Below are 24,324 nucleotides of genomic sequence, written 5' to 3' on the forward strand. Positions count from 1 at the left end.
TAAAATACAATTCTGAGTTTTAGAAATAATTGCATGTTACTTTAACTTAGTCCTATTGCATATCTTCATATATTTTTGTCACTACTACTGTTTCTGAAACAAACATAACTTTGTAGAGTCTTCCTCTACTTACTGGCTTTCATTGTGCATGCAGCCTACACATTCTTCCATTATTTCTGGAAGCTTTGGAAGAAAAAGTCTTGAGATTGGCATTTCAAGAGCTGAGTGCTTAGTCTCAGCAGGGAACTACAATTACCACTAATAATAATGATAATGATAACAAGGGTACAAAAGTCAAGTCCAACCAAATTTCCTTCAAACCCTTTTCTAGAAATAATATTTTCAAAGGCCATTAAAATATGGCAATGTGAGACAAAATAGTGCTTTATTGGAAAACCTTGTTTGGTTAGGGAAGATACCTTTTTGGGTTATATGATTCTGATTGTGTGGGAGTTACTTTACAACAGTGTAAGTTGTAGATAGTGATACAAGTGCAAAATAATTCATGTGTGTAGATACACAAACAAATTATGTACCACATAGGGCATCTCCTATTAAGAGTCAGTTTTGCCATATTCCTTTAAATATTTCTTTACAGCATATAAATTTCCCTTCTTTGGCTTCTCTTTGAACAGGTTATAATGTCTTCCTTGTTAGCTAATTTTGAGCTATATGGTTTAAGTAAAATCTGTAATACATATTTATTTTATATGTGCATGAGAATTATAATTTTACTCTTTTTGAGAATTCTCATTTACCACTGTGGAGAGATACTTTTGATCCCCACCAATCATACTTTCCTGGGCCTTTTCTTTTTCTTTAACCCTTCTGGGTTTGATGATTCTGATTGTCTGGTTGTGGGGAAATTTTTTTTTTGTATATATCTTCATATATATATACATTTTTTTTTAAAGCTGGTATTTGCTTCAGAAAGCCCCACCTTGCCTTCCAAGGAGGGTAGGCAGTCTCATGTATTTTGAACTTTGAGGAAACTGAGTTTATTGATTTCCATTTCAAAGAAACTGAGTTTCTTGATTTCTCTTTATCACTCCTCCCTCTCCATGTGCGGTAGCTGAGAGAGTTCTGGTGGCCCCGATGCTCTGCCATTGGAACACAGCACACAGACACACACAGGTGCAGAGTCAGGCACCAGTAGCATACCTAGACAGCCAGTGTTCTGGCTGCTCTTCCTTTCTCATCCTCTGAAACCTCTAGCCCTGTTTTTTCATGGCATTCGTTATTTGTGTGGTCCTTTACTACAGAGGTTTGAGGGTTATTTTAAGGAACTCTTTCGCTGGGCTCAGGAGATAGGCAGAAAGACAACTTGAGATGAAATGCATGAAAAAGTAGCCCAACTGCTTTAATTAGTATCCCTGAGAGGAGGACAAAAAGCTTTTGGCAGTTGGGATTTACCTTCTATTTTATGGAGGGTGGGGTGTGGCCGGGGAGCCACTCACTTCACATTCCACCAAGGCAGAAAGTGAAATTTCCTCCCTGAGGTCCTGGAACTGGTCCTTATAGAGACAACTTGGTGGAAAGCATAGCTCATGAGGGCCCCAACCTTCAGGGAAGTCCCTATCTGCAAATGGGTCACCTTCCAGAGACAATTATAGTGGCTCATGTTGCTTGAGTTCTGGGATATATTTCTGTAAACCAGGAGCTCACAGTCACAATTTGCAAAGAGGGTAGGCTTAATAGGAGGGCTGGGATTCCCACGTGGCCGCTAGGTTCCTCCCACTCCTTTTTGGATCATGGTTCTTGATTAGGCTAAGGCTGGCTCTCGCCTTTCTTTCTGGTGTCTAGGAAAGTCGTGGAGGCAAGTATGCCGCTATAAAAATTAGACTCTGTGTTACTAGCTGAAGATGATGCAATTTATTTACGACTGTAAGTAAATTTATCAATGTGCAGACTCCAGCGGCTCAGTGCCTCTTGCTTACTCTTGCTGAACCCTAGGCTTTGGAGAAAGTTGCTTGAGTTTCTACAATTCGTTCCATAATTTTTAGGATCCCAGTTCCTGCAAAGTTAGGAGATTTACTGAATCAGTGGTAAAAAAAAAATATTTTGGCTAAATTTGAACCAAACAGGCAGGCTCCTCCTAAAAGTCTGTATAGATTGAGGCTTCCGATTGCCCAACAGAATTTTCTGTAGTTAAATCTGTCCTCCAACACCAGAAATCTGTGTTTGCTGAAGCTGCTGTGAGCGAGACCTCGTATCTACCTAAATGTGTGTGTGTGTGTGTGTGTGTGTGTGTGTGTGTACACGGTCTCTACCAAAGAAGATAAAAATTAGCCGGGCTTGGTGGTGTGCACCTGTAATTCCAGCTACTCCACAGGCTAAGGCAGGAGAATCTCTTGAACACAGAAGCAGATGTTGCAGTAAGCTAAGATCACACCACTGCACTAGGGCCTGGGCAGCATTGTGACTCTGTCTCAAAAATAAATAAATAAATAAATACATAATACATACATACATAAAAATATACTACAGAAATGTTCTTTGTAGTAAGCCATTTTACAGAAAATGGTGAGGGAAATCCTGGTGCAGAGGTTCACTCCCAGTACTTCCAGAACTAAAGGCAAAGACAGGAGAATCACTTGACTTCAGGAGTTTCCGGCCAGCCTAGGCAACATCCAAGACCCTTTTTCTAAACTGAAAAAAAAAAGTGGTGACGGAATGTTTTGACAGTCACTGTTGCCCAGCAGCAAGCAATATTCAACATTAGCTATCACTGGATTCTCAATGAGAATCCCAGAGTATCAAATGGTTCCCAGCAGATCCAAGTACAATAATATGACCAGAACAGGGATTCTGCATTTCCAACTTTCAAACTTGCCACATATCATGGATAATATATTGACCACTAATTATTTACATCCACCAGCCATTTAGCATTATCATTGCTAGGGGCTTGCCCTTTTGAATTCATTCTGCAATTGTACTGTAATAATATAAAAATAGTCTCGATCATCCAAAATGGTTGTTGTGCTGCTTTCTCTTTCAGATTGTCCATGTTAAGAAAAAGTTTCTGTGTTTATGTATGTGCATTTGTGTATGTGGATGTTGTCGAGAGCATACAAAGAACAAACAAACAGAAGAAGAAATAATCTATCCACAGGACAAGTCTTCTGTTTTCTCTCTTCTTCTTCAAGGAGTGTGAGCTGTCATAGGAGTTACAGATACCAGCCAGTAGCTAAACAAACTTTCTGCATTATAGTCAAATGGATCATGAGGAACGCAGGGAGAAAGTGAGGGCTCAGGATCCTGGTTGGGTCCTAGAGTAGGAAGGGTGCAGCATCCATTAAACAGTGTAGAAAAGAAAAACTAATACAGTTATCCCTTGCTATCTGTGGAGGATTGATTCCAGAATCCCTGTTGGATACCAAAGTACATGAATGTTTGAGACCCTGATATAAAATGGTGTAGTATTTATGTATAACCTATGTACATCCTCCCATATATCACCATCCTCGATTATTTAAATCATTCCTAGACTATCTAAATAAATCATCCCTAGATTATTTATAATTACTAAAGCAGTGTAAATGCTATGTAAATAGTTGTTATACTGTATTATTTAAGTAACAATGACAAGAAAATGTTGGAACATGTTCAGTACAGGTGCACCCTTCCATTTTTCCCCAAAATATTTTCAATCTAAACTTGGTTGAATACATATAGACAGAACTCACGGATAGGCAAGGATTATTGTATCTTTTCCTCAGTGATCACAAGGTTGATGACTGACACCACTATGAATAAAAACAAATTAACAAGGGAAAAACATAACAAATTTATTCAACGAAGTTTCAGGTGACATAAGAGCCTTAAGAAATAAAGACTCAGAGAATCAGTGAAAATTGTGTATTTTAGTTTTCAGTGCTGCCAAACAAAAATGATGGGGCCATGGTTTTGTATTGAGCTCCAAAATTAGGCAGCAACAGACCAGGTCAAACTAAAATGGAGTCACTCATGCTAAGTTTCACATAATATCAGGTAAATTAATCTGAAATATGAGGGAAAGAGATAGATCCTGAAAGCCATCTTTTTTTTCTGAAAACAAGAGATTACAGTCTACCCAATTCAGTGCAATAACGAACCATACTCTGCTTTATCCCTTTCAAAAAAGTAACCTCATGTCAACTAGTCATTTTTCTGTTGTTTCATATCTTTGCTCTCACCATACAAAATCCACCGTTCTACTACTTGCCAGTGGGATCTATCACTCCATTTTGTAGAATGGAGGATGCTCCTTCATGACTTGCAAATAAAAGCCAATTATCTGTATAAGTAAAGGTGTTGTAATTTTCCCTTTTGATAGTTTCAGTGGTTCACACCTGTATCTTTGCCTCAGTATGTGGGGGAAGGATGGGAGGCTGAGGCAGAAGGATTGCCTGAGGCCAGGAGTTTGAGATCATCTTGAGCAACATGGCAAAATCCTGTTTCCACAAAAAATTAAAAATTAGCTGAGCATGTTAGCACATACCTGTAATCCCACATACCTGGGAGGCTGAGGTAGGATGATGACCGGAGCCAGGGTGGTCGAAGCTACAGTGAGCCATGATTGCACCACTGCAGTCCATCATGCATGACAGAGTGAGACCTTGTATCAAAAAAAAAAGAAAGAGAAAGAAAAAAGATAGAATGGACAGGTAATGTAGAAGTATTATAGGACAAAATAATTTATGATATGATAATAAATTGGGTAAACTTTAAGGCCTGGGAGTTCAGATTCTTTTTAGCCTCTCTCTATTGTATCCTTTCCCTTTGTGTATGGTGCAGGACATATGCCACACGAGAGTCTTATGAACTACTTTCAAGGGAGGTATGTCAGACAATAATTTTATGGACAGCTTTCACACAGAAAGGTTAGAATGAGTCAGTGATGCGTCATGCCTGTACTCCCAGCACTTTTGGAGGCTGAGGCGGGTGGGTCACCTGAGGTCAGGGGTTCAAGACCAGCCTGACCACTATGGTGAAATGCCATCTCTACTAAAAACACAAAATTAGCTGGGCATGGTGGCACCTGCCTGCCTCTAATCTCAGGTACTCAGGAGGCTGAGGAAGGAGAATCACCTGAATCCAGGTGGTGGAGGTTACACTGAGTCAAGATTGTGCCATTGTACTCCAGCCTGGGCAACAAGAGCAAAACTTCATCTCAAAAAAGAAAAAGAAAAAAAGAAAGGAAAACAACAAAAAAAGAAAACGTCAGTGAGTGACCTCCATGATGTCATATTTTGGCATAATATGTCCTAAGCCCCAACACCAGTGACAGCAGGCCAATGGATCCTATCCTTGGGCAGAGAAGTTCCTAGGTCAGGGATAGGAGACAAAAGCCAGTACCCAATCCTAACAGATGCTGGGCTCAAAATCTTGCACCTTTCTACCCCAGTTTTAACATCTCTGTATCTTCAGGGAGAGAAAAAAGCATAGGTCTTTTTTTCTAAAGTTCATTTAAGACAAAGTATTGGCCAGGCGCAGTGGCTCACACCTGTAATCTCAGCACTTTGAGAGGCCAGCATGGGTGGATAGCCTGAGGTCAGGAGTTTGAGACCTGCCTGGCCAAAATGGTTAAACCCTGTCTCTACTAAAAATACAAAACTTAGCTGGGCATGGTGGTGGGCACCAGCTACTTCGGAGAGTGAGGCAGGAGAATCACTGGAACCCAGGAGGCAGAGGTTGCAGTGAGCCAAGAGAGCGTCACTGCACTCCACCTTGGGCAACACAGTGAAACTTCGTCTCAAAAAAAAAAGACAAATTATTATCCTTTTCCACCATCCTTTCCCTACATGCCAATATTACCTCATACTTAGCCGACCAAGAATGAGTCAGAGACAGTTCAGGGATCCAGAGCAGGAAATAGTGGACACACACACCAGCATCTGATCTCCAGAATAACAGAAGAGTACATAATCAAAAAGCTACTTTACATTAATATTCTTCACAAGGGTTTCTTTTCAAAAATGAGTTTTGACAACACTGAGATGCTCTTTTTTCTTTCTTTTAACCTCCAACTCTTGATGTAACCACCCAATGGGTTCATTTTGTCCAGAGCCCAGAGACAGCTGATTTTTCAGTAGGTGAATTGCAATAGAGGAAGAGATTAAATACACATAGAGCTGGCTAAATAGGAGCCTAGGGTTTTATTATTACTCAGCCTTCCTATCAACTTGGAGGCTAGGGTTTATCAAAGACAGTTTGGCAGGTGGGGGCTAGGGAATGGGTGCTTCTGATAGGTTGGGTATGGAATCACAGGGATGTGGAAAGTGGTCCTCTTGTGCTGAGTTCAATTCTGGTAGGCAGAAACAGGACTGGCTGAGTCTAGAGTCGCCTGTCTAGTTGGGCCATTTGGTAGTTAAAAATGACAAAACTTGAAAAAACACATCAAAAGGCCAGTCTTAAGTTCTACAAAAGTGATGTTAATTACAGGAGTAATTGGGGAATTTGCAACTCCAGAATAATGACCAGTAATCATTTAACTACATCTACATCTTAGCAGGATCACGCCCCTCTCATTGTCCTAACCTGGTGGTCTTTCATTGTTTTACAAAGGTGATTTAGTTTTGGGAAGGACTATTCTCCTTTAAACTATAGACTAAATTTTTCTCAAAGTTAGGTTAGTTTATGCCCAGGAATGAACAAGGGCAGTAGGTAGGTTAAGGGCAAGACGGTTAGATCAGTTCTCTGTTACTGTTATAATTTTCTCATTGTTATATTTTTTGCAAATGTGGTTGGATAAAATCATGGCTCATACAAATATACAAAAAATACATATTAAAATTTTATTTAACATAAAACATTAAAATTTATTTAATAAATTATAAATGAAAAAATCAGTAACATGTTATAAGCAGTTTAAAAAAGTTAATGAAGCTCAGTTTTAACATGAAGTATAGGAATGGTGAAATTATATAAATGAAATTTGTAAATGGTGTCAATGTGCTTTTATCTAGAGCTGCTATAGGAAATCACCATAAACCGGGTGGCTTAATACAGAAAAACTTTCTTGTCTCACAGTCCTAGAGGTTAGAATTCTGAAATCAAGGTGTTGCCAAGTTGGTTCCTCTGTGAGTTCTGAGAAAAATCTGTTTCCTATCTCTCCTAACTTCTGATGTTTGCCGGTAGTCTTTAGTATTTTTACTTGAAGTTGCGTCACTACAATGTCTGCCCTCATTTTTACATGGCCTTCTTATTAAGAAAAACAGTCTTTGGACTTAGGGACCTCCTTACTCCAGGATGACCTCATTTTCACTTAATTATATTTGCCATCATTTTATTTCCAAATAAGAGCACATTCTGAGATTCCAGGTAGATACTAAGTTTTCAGAAACAGGATTAAACCCAGTGCAGATTGAGAGAAGTCCCTAGAAATGTCACTGCACATAATTCATTTGTATATCAATAAACAAGAATTATTTTGCATTGCTATAAGTTACCTGCAATTTATAAAGTTGTGAAATAGTTCAAGACAATGAAGGGAGAGACTCTCTGGTAACTACAGAGTATGAGCTCATCATTGCTTAGTTTCCACAAGAGGTATCTCTGAATTTTTTTGTTTATTCCCAATGATCTTATAGCACTTGTAAAGTTTTTACATTAGTTACAAAATGCAATTTGAAGTGAAAGAAACAGAAATACAAAATATTAGTTTCTCTTTTTCTCCTACATTCCTACATGGATTTGTAGAAGAGCTGACCTTTACTTATAAAATAAATCAGCAAATGAGTGTCTTTTCTAGAATGGGGTGACCCAATTTTTATTACAGTGAATTATTAGGACACATATGCACAGCACTTGAACATGTTCTATCTTCTGAAACTTGTGTGAGGTACACAAGCTGGTGTTATTGTTCCCACATTACAGATTAGGAGATTTCTCAGAAGAATTTCAGTTTGGTAATAAATATTTCTTATTGAATTGGGGCTAGCAGCCAGGTGAAACTGCCTCTTTTTGCTCCCACCTATGCTGCAGGTCAATGTCATTTAGCAAATGCTAATAAGTGAGATCTTCTGAGATCTTCCTACTGAGGCTGAAATAACACTAGCACCTCAAGCAGGTCATGTTTTAGGCAGCTCCTTTGCACAGCCCAATATTTCATCTGAAGGAATTGTCTCTTAAAATCTTCCATTCTCTCACTTTACCTGATTAATTTTGTATCTAAACCTCGGAACAATTTTAAAGCATTTCTGCAGGCTGATCTCTTCTTATACTGGAAGAATTTTAGGAATCTGTGAGCCTAGTTAAATCTAGGAGGGTCAGTAAGATTAGTCACTGGGCAGGCAGGGTCCTGTGTTTAGATATTTTTCCTGTGGAGAATAAGATGAGGACTGTTGTTAATTTAGGTGATAATACTTTTTGCCTAAAAAAAAAATTGTTTCTCTACTATTTTATTTTGATTTTTATTTTATTTTTTCAATTTTTTGAGGTTTTTGCCTGGGCTGGGTAAACTCAGCTGTATGGTGCTGGATGTCAGTCTACCATCAGAGTGGGACACCATACTGGGAGACAGAGGACATCCACATTGCACAGTCCTGAGATATCAAATTCTCAAGGATAACACAGTTTTTCCGCATCTGTGGAATGAAGAACTATAACTATGGATAGACATCATAAAAACAAAAGCCTTATGTAGTGACTAGTTAAGATTATAGTGCCAGCCCTGGGCTTTCGGGTTGCAGAAAACTGGTAGGTTGTATGTTATGGGACTCAAGAGCATCTCTCAACATAGGCAATTGTATCTCTGCTGTCCTTTCTCTTCAGCAGCTTTCCTCTATAGGTCTCAGTGGGAATCCATCCTTTCGGGTTTTGGGATTTCAGAAGTGAACATGGCATTGCACTGCAGAGATGGTGTGTGAGTCCAGCCTACCCGAAACCAATGCAAATTAGTAAGTATTTGGGAACTAAAGTTACTTTTGGAGACGTTAAGGGTGAAAGCCATCTCCTTCACTGACTACAAAGCAACTAGAGGCTCAGGAAAGCATTAGGTAATGCTCACAGGGTCAGCTCAGGAAGTGAAGAGCAAAGACTGCCATTGTGTTAACAAGAGGTTGAAAGTGTATTCTCAGAAGAAGAAATCTACTGTCATATCCATCCCCATCCATCTGCAGGCTCCAATACACAGCTCTTTCGTCTGTCCTCTGTAGTAAGATGAAATACCAAGCACAGAGCACAAATCCTGAACAATCGCCATCACCTATTTGGTGGACGCATAGGCCTGGTCTCTGATCTGGTCGCATGTCCAGAGGGTCTGCTAACCCACTGCACCTAGGGAGACAGGCATTGTACCACCTTTTCTCTACTCTTCCCAGACTCAACACATTTGATTGTATATGCGCATGAGGTAGAAATATAAGATGAAGCAGGGACAGAGTCAACAAGCCAGAACTAGATGCTTCTACCTGGACAGAAGACCTAGAATTCTTTTTTGGATCCTAAATTCACCAGGAAATTTTAACCACATGCATTCAGAGATGCTGTGTAGGTGTGGCCAGTGTCAGCTGGCAGTGTACCCAGTGTACCACTGTGTCGCCCACCCTGTGGTCATTAGCAATTGGAATTCCTCAGTAATCTGGCTGGGAAACTGACCTTTGGAAGTCTTTCCCTTACTTCTCCTTCACCCAGCAAAGGGCTATGCAAATATCCTTTTACAAATTAAGGGCTGAATATCCAGCCCTAAGGTTTCTTCAGTTAGTAGATTAGTTTTACTTTGGAAAGCTGGGCCCAAGTTATTTGGCTCAAAACATCCTCCCAATGCTGAGGACACAACAGTTGAGAAACAGTACAACTGTTAGTATCCAGATTGCAAAGGAAGATGTAATAGTATATACTCATGTGTCACTTAACAACAGAGATACATTCTGAGAATGGCATGCATAGGTGATTTAACAACAGAGATACATTCTAAGAATGGCATATGTAGGTGATTTTGTCATTGTGCAAATATCATAGACTGTACCCACAGAAACCTGGATAGTTTAGCTTACCACACACCTAGGCTATATGATATAGCCTATTGCTCTCAGGCTACAAACCTGTGCAGCATGTTGCTAAACTAAATACTGTAGGCAATTAGGACACAATGGTAAACATTTGTTTACTTAAACACACTTACACATAAAAAGGTGCAGTAAAATTATTATAATATGATGAGGCCACCATTGTCTATGTAGTCCTGTTGTTGACTGAAGTGTTATGTGGAAGATGGCTGTATTTGCAAGATCTTGCATATAGCAAATACTAGGAAACACATACACCACCTATCTATCAAAGCTAATAAGTCAATTCTGAAACGTTGAGGCAAATAATATCAACATATAAAACCCAGTTGTATTTCCATACATTAGTAATGAATAATTCAAAAGTGAAAATAACACAATTTATATCATTAAAATAATGAATACATATAACAAATCTAACAAAAGAAATATAAGATTTGTACCAGAAAACTACAAATAATGTTAAAAGAAATTAACCTAAGGAAAAATGGAAAGGTATCTGTATTTATGGATTGGAAAAATTAATAACATTAAAATGCCAATTGTCCCCAAACTAATCTACAACTTCAATGAGATCTCTGTCAACATTGCAACCAGCTTTTTGTTTGTGTTATTTTCCTAGAAATGAACAGATAACCTGAAAATTCATATGATTTTTTTTTTTGAGATGGTGTCTTGCTCTGTCACCCAGGCTGGAGTGCAGTGGTGCGATCTCAGCTCACTGCAACATCCGCCTCCCGGGTTCAAGTGATTCTCCTGCCTCAGCCTCCTGAGTAGCTGGATTACAGGCATGCGCCACCACGCCCAGCTAATTTTTGTATTTTTAGTAGTGATGGGGTTTCACCATGTTGGTCAGGCTAGTCTTGAATTCCCGATCTTGTGATCCACCCCCCTCAGCCTCCCAATATATGAAGTTTTAAGAAACCCAGAAACCAAGATCAATCTTGAAAATATAGTTGAACGAATTAGGCTTCCCAATTTCCAAACCGGCTACAAAATGACAATAATAAAAACAGTGTGGTACTGGTGTAAGGACAGGATTATAGGTGAATAGAGTAAAATTCATAGTCTAGAATTGAGCTCTGACATCTGTGATGAGCTGATTTTCACAAAGGTGAGAAAACTATTCAGTGCAGGAAGGAGTAGCCTTAAACAAATGGTGTTAGGATAACAAATATCAACAACTAAAGAATAAAGTTGGATCCTACCAAATTAATTTAAGATGGTTCAAAGTTATAAATGTAAGAACTAAAATTATGGAACTTTTAGATAAATAAATAGTCCTAAATCATCATGTACTAGGATTAGCCAATGGCTTCTAACATGTGACATCAAAAGTACAAGGGCAAAATAAAAACTGGATATGTTGAACTAAAAACTTTTATGAGGCAATGGATACCATGAAGAAAGTAAAAAGGAAAGTCAGAGAATAAGAGAAAGTATTTGCAAACCATATCTACCAAGGGATTTATATCAGAATGTATAAGGAAATCTTAAGTGTCAATAGAAAAAGACCAACAACTCAAATATTAAAAAGCCAAAAGATTTGAATAGGCATTTTCCCAAAGAAGACATATAAATGACTAATAAGCACAGAAAAGGATGCTCAATGTCATTAACCTATAAGGAAATGTACATTAAAACTACAATTATATATACACAATTATGATTTTGTCAATTAAAATAACAACTATAAAGTGTAAAGCTACAGCAAGATAATCACACTCAGTGAAATGGCTAATCAAACAGATGGGAAAAGCAAGTATGGTGAAGATGTAGAGAAATTAGAATTTTTATATGTTGTTGGTAGGCATATAAAATTGTGCAGCTGCTGTGGAAAACATTTGTCAGTTCTTCAAACAAATTAAACATCAAATTACTACACGATCCAGCAATTCCAAACAATTCAAAACATATACTCAAACAAATACTTGCACATGAATGTTCAAAGCACCACTATACAAAATAGTCAACAAGTGGAAACAACTCAACTGTTTACTGATGGAAAAGTAAACAAAATGTATATCCAATCAATGAAATATTAGAGCTGTAAAATAAATGAAGTCCAGTTGTCTTGTGGTTTCCAGGGAGACTGGTTTCCAGGAGCACCCGTCCACAAGATACCAAAATACATAGTTGCTCATGTCCCTGATATAAATGTGTAGCCTGGGTAACATGGTGAAAACCTGTGTCTACCAAAAAAAGGTACAAAAATTAGCCTGCCATGATGGTGAGCTTGTAGTCCAAGCTACACGGTGAGGCAGAAGGATTGGTTGAGCGTCAGAAACAGAGGTGGCAATGAGCCAAGACTGTATGTCACACTCAGGATAGGTGACAGGGTCAGACTCTGTCCTTCCAATCCCCTGACAAAAAGATGTAGTATTTGCACATAACCGATGCACCTCCTTCTGTATATTTTAAATCATTTATATATTACTTATAATATCTAATACAAAGTAACTGCTATGTAAATAGTTGCTATATTGCTTAGGGAATATGGACAAGACAAAAGTCTGTACACGTTTGGCGCAGATGCAACCATTCATTTATTTTTCCTGAATATTTTTGATCTGTGGTTGGTTGAATCTACAGATGTCTAGGGATTCAGAATCCACTAGTACAAAGGGCTAACTGTACTGATATTATACTACGACCTTGGAAGCAAAACCGTTATTATAAGCAAAAGAAGCTAGACGCAAAGTCCACTTACGTCAGGATTACATATATATATACACACACACATACATACGTACACACACACATATATACACACATACATATATACACACACATATATACACATATATACACACATATACGCACATATATACACACTTATATACACACATATATACACACATATATACATATATATGAAAAGTTAGTAAATTGTGCATTTAAAAACAAGGCAATGCATGGTGTATGAATTATCCTGATCTCCCAAGTTTTGATGACTGGAACCGTAATTGCATCTAAAACAAATAGGTGATGTTTTTCAGGGAATTCCCCTTCGCCTCCATCATATCAAGGAAAATAAATGGATTAACAAACGTATAACTGTAAGTAAGAAACGGATAGCGGAGAAAGTGGAGTCCATTTAACCTGTACTTGGTGCAAAATAGCTGCTGATAGTTGTTTCAAGCCCGCGTGGGTCAGCGGGGAACAGTACGTGGACCCCATTGCACTGGACAGGCTGGAGTCTGGGTCGGTGTCAGAGCTTAAAAACTGATAAGCTGAAAGCCAATGCACCTACCCTTTAACGTCATGTATTTTTTATCCCTACATCATTGATGGCTAGGAACAGCAGGTAACATCCTCATAAGATTAAGCAATAAGAAAATAGACTTTATGTGTACTCTCACTTGTCGTTAATTTCGTACATTCTCTAACAAAAGAATACGGTTGGAATAAAAATCTAAACCTTTCCAGAACAGTAATGAGTACCTTACCATACGGGAACACCGGCCTGGGAACTACAAATCCGGGTTGGCCACACCCAGAAGAAATACTCTCTTTCCTAGAACGTTGCATTACGCTCCAATCCCGAGCAGGTCCAGAGAGCCGTAGCCGCTCAGCCTGCTGGGACTTGTAGTTCTTTTTTTAACAGGCATAGGTTCCCGAGGCCACTTTCGGCTCTGTCGGCCTGAGGCCGAGCCCAGGATTTAATGTTCCCCACCCTCCCGCACTCCCCAAGATAGGTTGGTAGTGTTAGGAAGAGTGGATGGCGGAGTCAACCTCCTCCGGTCACGTGTGGTACTTGGCATGCAGCGATTGGTCGCCAGAGTTATAGGGCCCCGCGTTAAGTCCATGAGCTTCCGTGAGGGTACTCTGCCGGTTTTGCTGCGGAAGTCACCTCGTGGCGTAGGGGAGAGGTAACACCGAGAAGAGGCAGCGGCGGTGGCGCCAAGACGATTGGTGCCAAACAGGGCAGAACGCAACTCAGCTCTGGGGTGGGTTCCTGTCCAGAGGGGTAGAGAAGAGTGGCTGAGGGCGCGCCCTGATCTCAGCGGGAAGAGTGCGACCCCGAGGGCGCGCTAGGTATGAAAGCCACGTGTGGCTGGCACCGCGGGGACCCACGCACCAGGTGTACCCTTTCCAGTCCCTGCCGTCGCCTTATTCCCGGTGCTGGTCACCACCGTCTAGGGCTTACTTGGGACACAGGCTAGTTCTCTCCTGAAGCTATTGAGCAGTATGTGTTGAGGTGCGCTACGCCAGTTGAGGTGAAGCTGTTACACAGTATGAAAGCCGGGCTTTGTAGCTGCAGCTGCGCATTGCACCCCCAGCTACGCAGTCTCCTTTCCTTCTCAGTCACAGGACCGGATGGCAAGTGGCCGCAGCCAGTCGGTGAGACCGACTGAGCTCTGGGGCTTCAGTTCTTGACGCTACCTACATGGCTACATCTCCAGCCAAGGATGAGAGGTGATGCCAGAGGACCTCGATCTAAATTGGGCACCATTATCGTATGACAACTTCTCTTGCAAAACATCTTCTCTTTTCTCTTCTTTTCTCTGTCTCTCTCTTTCTCTCTCTCTCTTCGTTTCTCTCTTCTTTCTTTCATTGCTCTTTCTCTGTCCTGTGCACGCCAAAGCGGAAGCTGAAGTGCGGCGTCTTTGATCTCTCAATCCTGGAGACACAGGAACATTTTCCTTACTTTACTCAACTCGTTCCTTTGAATACCGCAAAATTAAGACGGCGTTTAAAACAATCGAAATCCCTTTTCTTCTGGGGTTTGGTGCCTAAAGATTAGAAAAGTTTGCGCAAGGAATTCGCTGCAGCATATAAAACTTTCAGGACCCTGAAATACAGAACTGCAAAGAAACGGCCTAAGATGGTTGAATGCTCTTTATTTTTCTTTAATTTAGACATGTTCAAACGTTCAATGTCTTACATACTTAGTTATGTAAGTAAGGTAGCGCTTACTTCATTATGCATTTCAATACTCAAAAAAAATTCCTTTGTGAAATGTTGAAATATTTTTCTAATCTGTTTCACGAGCTTCAAAAATGAGGAAAAAAGATTCAGTTTACATTTCAGCAAAATGCCTCTTTTTAATCGGATTTATGTTTACTTAACATTTACAGTACATTTACGCTTGAGCAAAGTTAGGTTTTGGATTTGCTTAGGGTCAGATTTTTTTTTTTTTTTTTTTTTTTGGTCTGTGCATGAATATGTTACTGCTGAGTTATCTCTCTGTCTGTCTCTCCCTCCCTCTCTCCTTGTATTCTAACAGAAAGGTTTAGAACTTGCATAATTGGGAAAGAAGCTGTTGCCTGAACTTACTGGGGGATTCAGCATTGTCATTTTGGACATGTCACTTATCCTCAGTATTTGCTTCCCCCAGGAGAGAGCTGTAATAAAAAAGCATTGCAATTTAATACATAAGCTCAGTAAGTTCTTGTTTATGCTCCTTGTGATGAAACAAAAAGTCCTTCAATTAGAAACAAAGGTTTAATCAAATAGCATTTTTAATGACCATGTTACAACTAAAGTTAATGACCCTTTGAAGAGCAGAGCTCTAGTTAATAGCTAGTTGTGAATAATGAGAATTTACTTCTGTTTCTGTCTTACTTTTCTATACTTAACCTCATATTCCTTTCTTCTTTGCTCATGTTTCTGGCCATCTTTTTACTTTGGGTTTCTTTCTTTCGTTATTCAACTAACTGAGATCGGATTGAAATACGTATCTAAATTTTTTTAAAATTTTTATTTTTAAAAATTGCTGAATATTTTGTATTTCCAAATTCACTTTTAGGTTACTTCCTTATCACCTTTATTTTTTTATTTCCTGTATGTCACTGACTGGGAAATAAAAATTACTTAATTTTAACTGAACCTCTGCCCCTCTTTTCCAGGATGCAGAAATAATATTTGTGTTGTTTTAAAAATCTTAGATCAATTAAAAAGAAAAATGACTCTGTCATTCTTTGGTAAGTTACAATACTTAAGTCAGAAACTAGAGAAGATGGGCTTTTTTAGGTTTTGTTATTCTCGTGCTGATTTTCTGTCCCTTCAGTTTTGCCTGTTTTTGCTTAATATATTTTGGGCTTAAGTGCATATAAGTTAATATTTGTTAAATCTACTTGGTGGATTACCCTTTTATTAATGGATAGCGTCCTTTGTCTCTTTAAAAATATTATGTCTTAAAGTTTATTTTGTGTAATATTAGCATAATTGTCTTAGTTTCTTTTGCTTATTATTTTGATGGAATATCTTTTTCTGTTCTTAACACTTACAATAAAGTGTATAATAGTTTGAATTGGTTTATTGTTTATGATAAAGTAGTTTGAATCTTAGATTCAGTAGTGTATAGAAACTTTGCTCCTTTATAGTTTTGCACTCTGACTTCTGATTGTCACGTTACCTCTTTATACAGTGTGTGTCGATATCATATTGTTTTATACATTTATTTTATAAAATTAGTTTTGTAAATTTTTCTTTTAAATCATATAGAAAAAACCTTACAATCCCCAAGTTTAATAATGCTAGCTTTTATATTTACCTACATAGTTATCTCTGCCATTGTTCTTTATTTTTCTTTATAGGTTTGAATTATTGTCTGGTGGCCTTTTATTTCTGACTACAGGGCCCTCTTTTGCATTGTTTTTGTAGGTCAGATTTATTAGTAGTATGTTCTTTCAGCTTTTGTGTATCTGGGAATATTTCAGTTTCTCCTTTATTTTGAAGGATAGTCTTTGAGTTTTTCCTACTTAACAGATCCTGGAGCTTCTTGGATGTGTAAATTAATGATTTTCATCAAATGTGAAGTTGTTTTCGGCTATTCTGCAGATATCCTTTACCACCCCTTTGCTGCCTCTTCCTATTGTGGGTAATAGGCATGTCTCTGTATGTTGGAGAGAATCAAAGGTCTTTTAAGCCCTTGATTTTTATTTATCTTTTGTTTTTTGTTCCTCAGACTGTATAGTTTCAGTTGACTTAGCTTCCAGTTTGTTGATTCTTCTGCCTGCTCAAATCTGCTGTTGAGCCTGTCTAGTAAAATGTTCAGTTTGTTGTACTTTTCAGCTTCAGAATTTCATTTGATTGGTTATGTTATTATTTTGTTCACTTACTGTTTTCCTAATTTTCTTTAGCTCTTTGTTTGTGGTTTCCCACCTAGCTCTTTGAATATATTTATGACAGTTGGTTTATAAAACCATTAGTAAGTCTAAAACCTAGGCTTCCTCCAGAGTGTTTTCTTTTATTTTTTTTTATTTCTGTTCATTGCCCATACTTTCCTGTTTTTTTTCCTTTTTTTTTTTTTTGCATGACTTACAATTTTTTTTGAAACCGAAGGCTTTGAATATTACCATATGGTAACTGTCAAATTCAGATTTAGACATTAAAGAGATTATTCTAGTAGAGATAACACTGAATTCAGGAAGCTTAAGCACCTTAAAATCAAACAAATATTTTTCTTTCCTAGGGAAGGATAAGCAGGATTAGTAGAAACTTAAGGACAAATTGAACAAGCAAATGGGGAGAACAGAGAGCAGGAAATGTATCTCACATGGTAAACCAGTTCTTCAGATGAGCTATTAAAGTGAGTGTGTGCTCTTATTTTAGTGCATGACCAGTGGTAAGACAAAATTTGTGGTCTGTAGATGAAAGAAAAGACTGACTAATCTTAGGTCAAAAGAAGGCGTAGATACCCTTTGGCCTTGTCTTGAAGTGGTATTGGGGAATACCTGGTCATAACACTGGAAATCAGATTCTGTCTACTCACCAGAGTTTGTGGTTGCTGGTTGTTACGGGGTTTTTTTAAGTGAATTTTGGGGTTTGTTAAGTGGCCAAACTATTTTTGTGAAGACTGTTGTATGTGGGTTTCAGATGTCTCTACATCAGTTTGTGGTCAGCTAGTGAGTTAAATTTTATGAAAAGCCTGGAGAAACAAGAATAGCAGTAAAAACTTCCAGTCTTTGTAGATTGGGTGTCTTCAGTGCTTAGCTGGGCAATTTAAAACTTACCTTAAGTAGTACAGTTGGCCCTTTGTGTCTGTGAGTTTCACATTTGTAGGTTCAACCAACTGTGGATTGAAAATATTTGAAAAATTAAAAATAGATGGTTGCATTTGCACTGAACATGTAGACTTTTTTTTCTTGTAATTTCTCTTAAACCATACAGCATAACAACTCTTTACATAGCATGTACATTGTATTAGGTATTCTGAGTACTCTAAAGTATACGGGAGGATGTGTGTAGGTTATGTGCAAATACTATAACATTATATGTAAGGGATTTGAAAATTCTGGGATTTTGGTATTTGCAGGTGGTGTGGGATGGGGGTCTGCCTGGAACCAAGGAATGCCCCAAAGGAGGATGGTGCCTTGTTGTGTGCATCCTGATGGTCAGCCAGAGGAGAAAACCTAGGGTTTTCTACATGTGCATCCTGCTTTGGACATGCATGTATCCTTGTAGGTCCCATGGTATTTGTCAATCCTTTATAAAACCTTAACATTTTTGTGTATCTCTTTCCCAGCCTCTTATTTCCCCTTAAGGCTTTTTAGCCTACGTACTACTTTTTTTCTCTGTTTACTCCTTACTTCTAGTGGCTGGGGCTTCAACAAATATCACCAGCAGGACACAACAGCCCTGAGAAGGTTCTGTGGCCTTCCCCTGGGGAACCACTAGACAAGTGAACCGCACCACCATAGCTCTTTAAGAGCAAGGTTTATATTCCCCACTCTGGCACCAGCAGTTCACACCAGGAATACTAGCTGCTTTCCTAATGGTTACCGTCAAGGTACAGATTAGGGATGGTAGGCAGGTTAATTAAAATGCCACAGATCTCTTTCTGAAATGTAGTATCTTCTTTTTTTTAATCTAGTACTTCCCTGGTTATTGTAAGTTCTGATTAGATTCCAGAGTTTCAAAGTACTTTATTTGGACAATTTTTGGTTATATAAAGTAAGTTTTAACCTAATGTCCAAATTAAATCCCTTTGTCTCTTTTCTCTGTCTCTTCCCAGTTCTTTTTTCCTTGATCTTAATGTGATGTACAAAGTAACTTTTAGATACTATAGTATCTGTGACAGCATTTAGACATATAAAGTATTATATAAATTTAATATGTTGTTCAAAGCAGTGCATGGGAACTATGTTAAAATTTTACCAGGTAGAATATTCAAAAGAAAAAAAGATGTTAGTTGACCTTAATATCCACTCAGACCCTGAGATTATGTTTTTATGATTCAGCCCATTTTCTAGTTGAATTTATGTTGGTACTTAAAACTGTGAGTTTTATGAGTTGATGATTAGTTGATGGGACAGACTTATAAAATATCCAGTGTTGTCTCTCTGTTCCACCAAGATAATTTTATTTATCTTCATTGCCTTGGATTTTTGTTTCAATGTAACAATTCCAAAGTGTCCTTCAATGATCCTCACTCTGGTACACTTCTCCCCCTTTAATATGTCATGATAATATTTGCTTGCTAAGATGATACATTTTGTGTTCTCACACAAGGCAGTATTGTTTGGTGGAGAACTGATTCTGGAAGTTGTGCTGTTGGTTTTGAAGAGAGTTTCTCTTTTAGGAATTGAAGTGTGAACCACATTAAAGGCAATAATGTATATGTGGTAGGTAGAATAATATGTCCCAACTCATCAAATGATATTTATGTCCTAATCTCTGATACCTGTGAATATGTTGTCCAGCTTGGCAATACTTGATTTGCAGATATCATAAAGTAGGATCTCGAGATTGGAAGATTATCTTGGATTATGTAGTGAACGAGTGTAATCAGTCACAGGAGTTCATTTACGAGGAGGGCAGCAAGATCAGTCAGAAAAAGAGATGTCCTAGGAATATATAAGTTTTATTTTTTCTTAAAATATTTTAAAATAAAAATAAGATTAAAAGGAGAATTTATAGCCCCCACTGCCCCCGCCAAAAAAAGTAAGGAGATCTCAGAGAGAGACAGAGAAAAAGAGAGAAAAGAGAGAGAGTAAGAGAGAGGTCTGAAGATGTTTTGCTGTTAATCTTAAAGATGGAGGCAGGAAAATAAACCAAATAATGGAGGCAACCTCTGTAAACTGAAAAAGACAAAACAGATTCTCCTCTGGGAAATAATAAATATATTTGTTCTTTGCCCCGTTTTCCTAACATACACCTCCTAAAATCCTTGTTGATGGGATGCTAGGAGAATTTTTTGTTCCAATATTTAATCTTTGACCTCCAGTTCCTGACATAGAGATCCGAAGACCTTTGTAATTTCCTGAGTAATAGGAGCATTTGACAAACAGCTCCTAAATCCCTTGGAATTTCCTGGTGATAGGAGAATCTTTTTCTAATGAGGTGACTATTGGTGTGTTCTTAGTCCCAGAATGGGAGCTGGTTGCCAGAGAAACCAACCTTGTGATTAGAAGATTGGGACTTTCAGTCTTATCCCAAGCTTTCCAGGGAGGGCACCAGGGGCTGAAGGTTTAGTTGATCACCAGCCACCGGTAATGTAGTGAGTTATGCCTATGCAGTGAAGCCTCATAAAAACCTAGTGAGTGAGGTTTACATAACTTCCAGGTAGCTTGAAGTGTGAAGGGTCCAAGAGGTTCCTGGAACAGTGAAGCCTCATGCTCCTTCCCACATACCTCACCATTTGCATCTCCTGTCTAGCTTTTCATTTGTATCCATTGTAATATTCATTATAATAAACCTGTAAGTCTCAGTGTTTCTCTAACTTCTGTGAGCCACTCTAGCAAATTAATTGAACCAAAGGAGGAGGTTAAGGACAGCATAGTTTACAAAATGAGCCCTGTTTCTGACATCTGAAGTGGGGGCAGTCTAGTGGGCCTGACCTCTTAACTTGTAGAAACATTCTTTCTTTCTAGATGACTAGTGACCAGAATTAAATTGAATCCTAGGCCACCCATTTATTGTCTTCTGCAGAATTGGCGAGAATGGAGAGGAATCCTCACCTATCGGTGACCAGAGATGAAATATTCTGAATTGAGAGTTTAAAAGAGCACACTTAGAAGAGATTTAGAGTTTAGTTTTTCCTGTCAGTCTTGCAATAGTGTCAACATACGTTAAAATGATCTGGGTAAAAAAACAAGGCTGGATGTTTCTTAGCTTATTATGATTGGTTTAATTGGAGCTGGGGAAGTGTAACTTCATAAAATTGTGACCAAGTAGTTCCATTTAGGTAATCCATAAAAGTAGAGAACGATTGGACATCTAGAAATGTATGACTTGATGATACTAACTGAGTGACCCAGTTGTTGGCCTTTTCCAAAACAAGTAAGGCAAAAGCATATTTCAGTGTCTTTGGGCATTACAATCTTTTTTTTGGATTTCCTGATTCTTTTGCTGCCAAGGTTGGCATTTAGATTCATAGAGATATCTCCATTTGCAAATAATCACTGTGTTAGAGTTTTAGAACTAGTTGTAACCTCTTTCAGTTTTATAAATAAAATAGTCATAGGCAGTAAATGTAAATACAGTGAAGTTGTGCATGCTTTAAAAGGCCAACAATATATGTGATCTAAGATAGAGTATTACCTTATGAGAACCTACTAGTAGTGTAGAAATTATGATGCTAAACATGACTGTAATAATTTACCCTTTCTGAAACTGTTTTAGTAATTCTAGGCTTCTTTTGGTTTCCTCATCTCTAAATTTGGCAATGACTATTTCTCTTTGAATTTACCTGTGAGTAGCTCTCTGTAGCTCTGTGTATTCTTTTGTATACCACAGCAATCACTGCAGGGTCTTTTGCTGTTACAGGTAGTACTTATACTAACTCCTAGGATGTTATTTTGCTGGAGTTTTATATTCTGCATCAGAACTCCATATTTACTCTGCTCTTGAAAGACCATACTCTTTGGAATGTTATAGTTATTGATAATCACTTATTCTCATGTTTCCATGTCTTTGATTCGTATCCCTGGACAAACTGAAATTGGCTCATCACTGAGATTGTCTGTTTATCATACCTGCCTATAAGCTATTTCTCTAGATTAAATGAAAAAGTAGATTAAATGCTGTTGCAACTGACTTCATGACAGTGAGCCAAACAATGAAGGCCAAGAGAAAATGCTTTATATGAATTATCTGTCACCACTCATTTGCGTTAATTGATATACCAACCACTTAATAATTTGAGACCTATATTTTGGGTATGGTTTGCTAAGAAGAAAATGAAACTTTTCACGTTTCCCTAGATTTGCCTGACAATAGGTGCCAACATTGGGACTTTCCTAGATGATGTCTTTCCTTTGATTCTTTATATATCCCTGCTGTACTTAGGCAGTACTTCTCAAACTTTTTGGCTTAGGATACTTTTAGTTAAAAATTATTGGCCAGGTGCAGTAGCTCATGCCTGTAATCCCAGCACTTTGGGAGGCCAAGGCGGGTGGATCACCATCCTGGCTAACATGATGAAACCCCATCTCTACTAAAAAATACAAAAAAATTACCTGGGTGTGGGGGTGGGCACCTGTAGTCGCAGCTACTCCGGAGGCTGAGGCAGGAGAATGGTGTGAACCTGGGAGGCGGAGCTTGCAGTGAGCCAAGATTGCCCCACTGCACTCCAGCCTGGGCAACAGAGCGAGACTCCATCTCAGAGAAAAAAAAAAAACAATTTATTGAAGACCTTCGTGTGGAATCAGTGAACTCTTTTCTGTGTTATATTAAACTTCTATCACCTTTTTTTTATGTTTTAAGTGAATTTTATGCCTTTCAGTAATTTTGTAACATTTGTCATTTGGAAATATTGGTTTGCTGAGTTGTATAGATCTTTCAGATGGTTTACAATATTAGAAAATGAGATTTGTTAATATTATTACTGGCCTTATCAGAAAAGTCTTTAAAGAGTGGGAAGCTGGCAGGCTAATGCAGATTGAAACTTTCCAAAATTCTAATTTTCACTAGAAAGCTTGATTTTTATCATTGCAATGAATAACTGTATTATTTATCCTCCCATACTTATTTGGTTCATTTTCTATAAAATGTCTGACCCTAATCAAGATAACGATAGTAATAAGAAATACTATACTATCATATATTATATACTATTATTATTATAAAAACATGTATGTTTATTGAGACACTGTTCACAATAGCAAAGACTTAGAACCAACCCAAGTGCCCATCAGTGTTAGATTGGATAAAGAAAATGTGACACATAGGCACTATGGAATACTATGCAGCCATAAAAAAGGATGAATTCATGTCCTTTGCAGGTACATGGATGTAGCTGGAAAGCTTCATTCTCAGCAAACTAACGCAGGAACAGAAAACCAAACACCACATGTTCTTACTCATAGGTGAAAGTTGAAGAATGAGAACACATGGACACAGGTAGGGGAACATCACACACCAGGGTTTGTCAGGGGTGGGGGCCTAGGGGAGGGATAATATTAGGAGAAATACCTAATGTAGATGATGGGTTGATGGGTGCAGCAAACTACCATGGTGTGTATATACCTATGTATACACATGTATAAACCTGCACATTCTGCACATGTACCCCAGAACTTAAACTATAATAATAAGAAAAGAACTATGAAGAATCAGAAACTGTATTTACAAATTAATAAGATTGCCATAGTTTATGGATGTTGACAGAGCTATTGAAACAATAGTTTCTCTCTTTTTTTTTTTCTTGTCGCCGACAAATCCAGGTGCAGAATGAGGATAGGGGATCCAGCTACCTGGTTTCCCCTGTGACTGACCTAGTTCTAGATCACAAGGATACTGACCACAAAGTCTCCCTATGATGGCCCACACAAGCAAGAGAGGAGAACATAATGGAGCTCTGAAAGATTTATAGATACTCTCATTCCTTTAGCATGTCACATTTCTGGACAAACCATGTACTGGGAGTAGGGGATGACTGAACGGAAGTCAAAGTTATAGTTACTGGAAATACAAACTGTGGCAGTAGAAAACCCTAGGCACAAGGGAAGTAAAATATTAACCACTCCAGGCTGGAGTGCAGTGGCGCAATCTGGGCTCACAGCAAGCTCTGCCTCCTGGGTTCACACCATTCTCCTGCCTCAGGCTCCCGAGTAGCAGGGAGTACAGGCACCCGCCACCAGGCCTGGCTAGTTTTTTTTGTATTTTTTAGTAGAGATGGGGTTTTACTGTGTTAGCCAGTATGGCCTCGATTTCCTGACCTCGTGATCCGCCCACGTCAGCCTCCTAAAGTGTGGGGATTACAGGAGTGAGCCACCATGCCCAGCTGAAACAATAGTTCTTCACAATGGCATCTACCACTATGTCCACATTTGCACCTCTGTCCTGAACCTCGATTCCTATAGGTTGATGTGTTGAGAACCAGACAATACGAAATAGAAGACAAATCATGAGCTTACAGAACCTGAAACTTTTTACACTGGGC

General features: G+C 38.5%; 1 long non-coding RNA gene and 1 pseudogene across 9 annotated transcripts in view; one reads left to right on the top strand and one right to left on the bottom strand.

The window, feature by feature from the left end:
• Positions 1-358: 358 nt before the first annotated feature.
• On the bottom strand, positions 359-13,469 carry LOC105377223 (uncharacterized). Of its 7 annotated transcripts, none has more exons than XR_001756065.2 (4): positions 13,442-13,469; positions 4,500-4,600; positions 3,690-3,749; positions 359-3,272 (listed from the first exon to the last, which is right to left on the bottom strand). It is a non-coding gene; the product is annotated as an uncharacterized LOC105377223 (long non-coding RNA). The 7 variants fall into 7 exon arrangements; XR_007068463.1 differs by having other exon boundaries at positions 359-2,014; positions 4,484-4,600; XR_001756064.3 differs by having other exon boundaries at positions 4,484-4,600.
• Positions 13,470-13,817: 348 nt separating this feature from the next.
• TXLNGY (taxilin gamma Y-linked (pseudogene)) overlaps positions 13,818-24,324 on the top strand; it is a 39,813-nt pseudogene continuing 29,306 nt past the window's right edge. For both annotated transcript variants that reach the window (NR_045128.1, NR_045129.1), the window contains exon 1: positions 13,818-13,942. The product of NR_045128.1 is annotated as a taxilin gamma Y-linked (pseudogene), transcript variant 1 (transcript). The remainder of the gene's footprint in view (positions 13,943-24,324) is intronic.

This window comes from Homo sapiens, chromosome Y, assembly GCF_000001405.40.
Source record: "Homo sapiens chromosome Y, GRCh38.p14 Primary Assembly".
Taxonomy (NCBI): domain Eukaryota; kingdom Metazoa; phylum Chordata; class Mammalia; order Primates; family Hominidae; genus Homo; species Homo sapiens.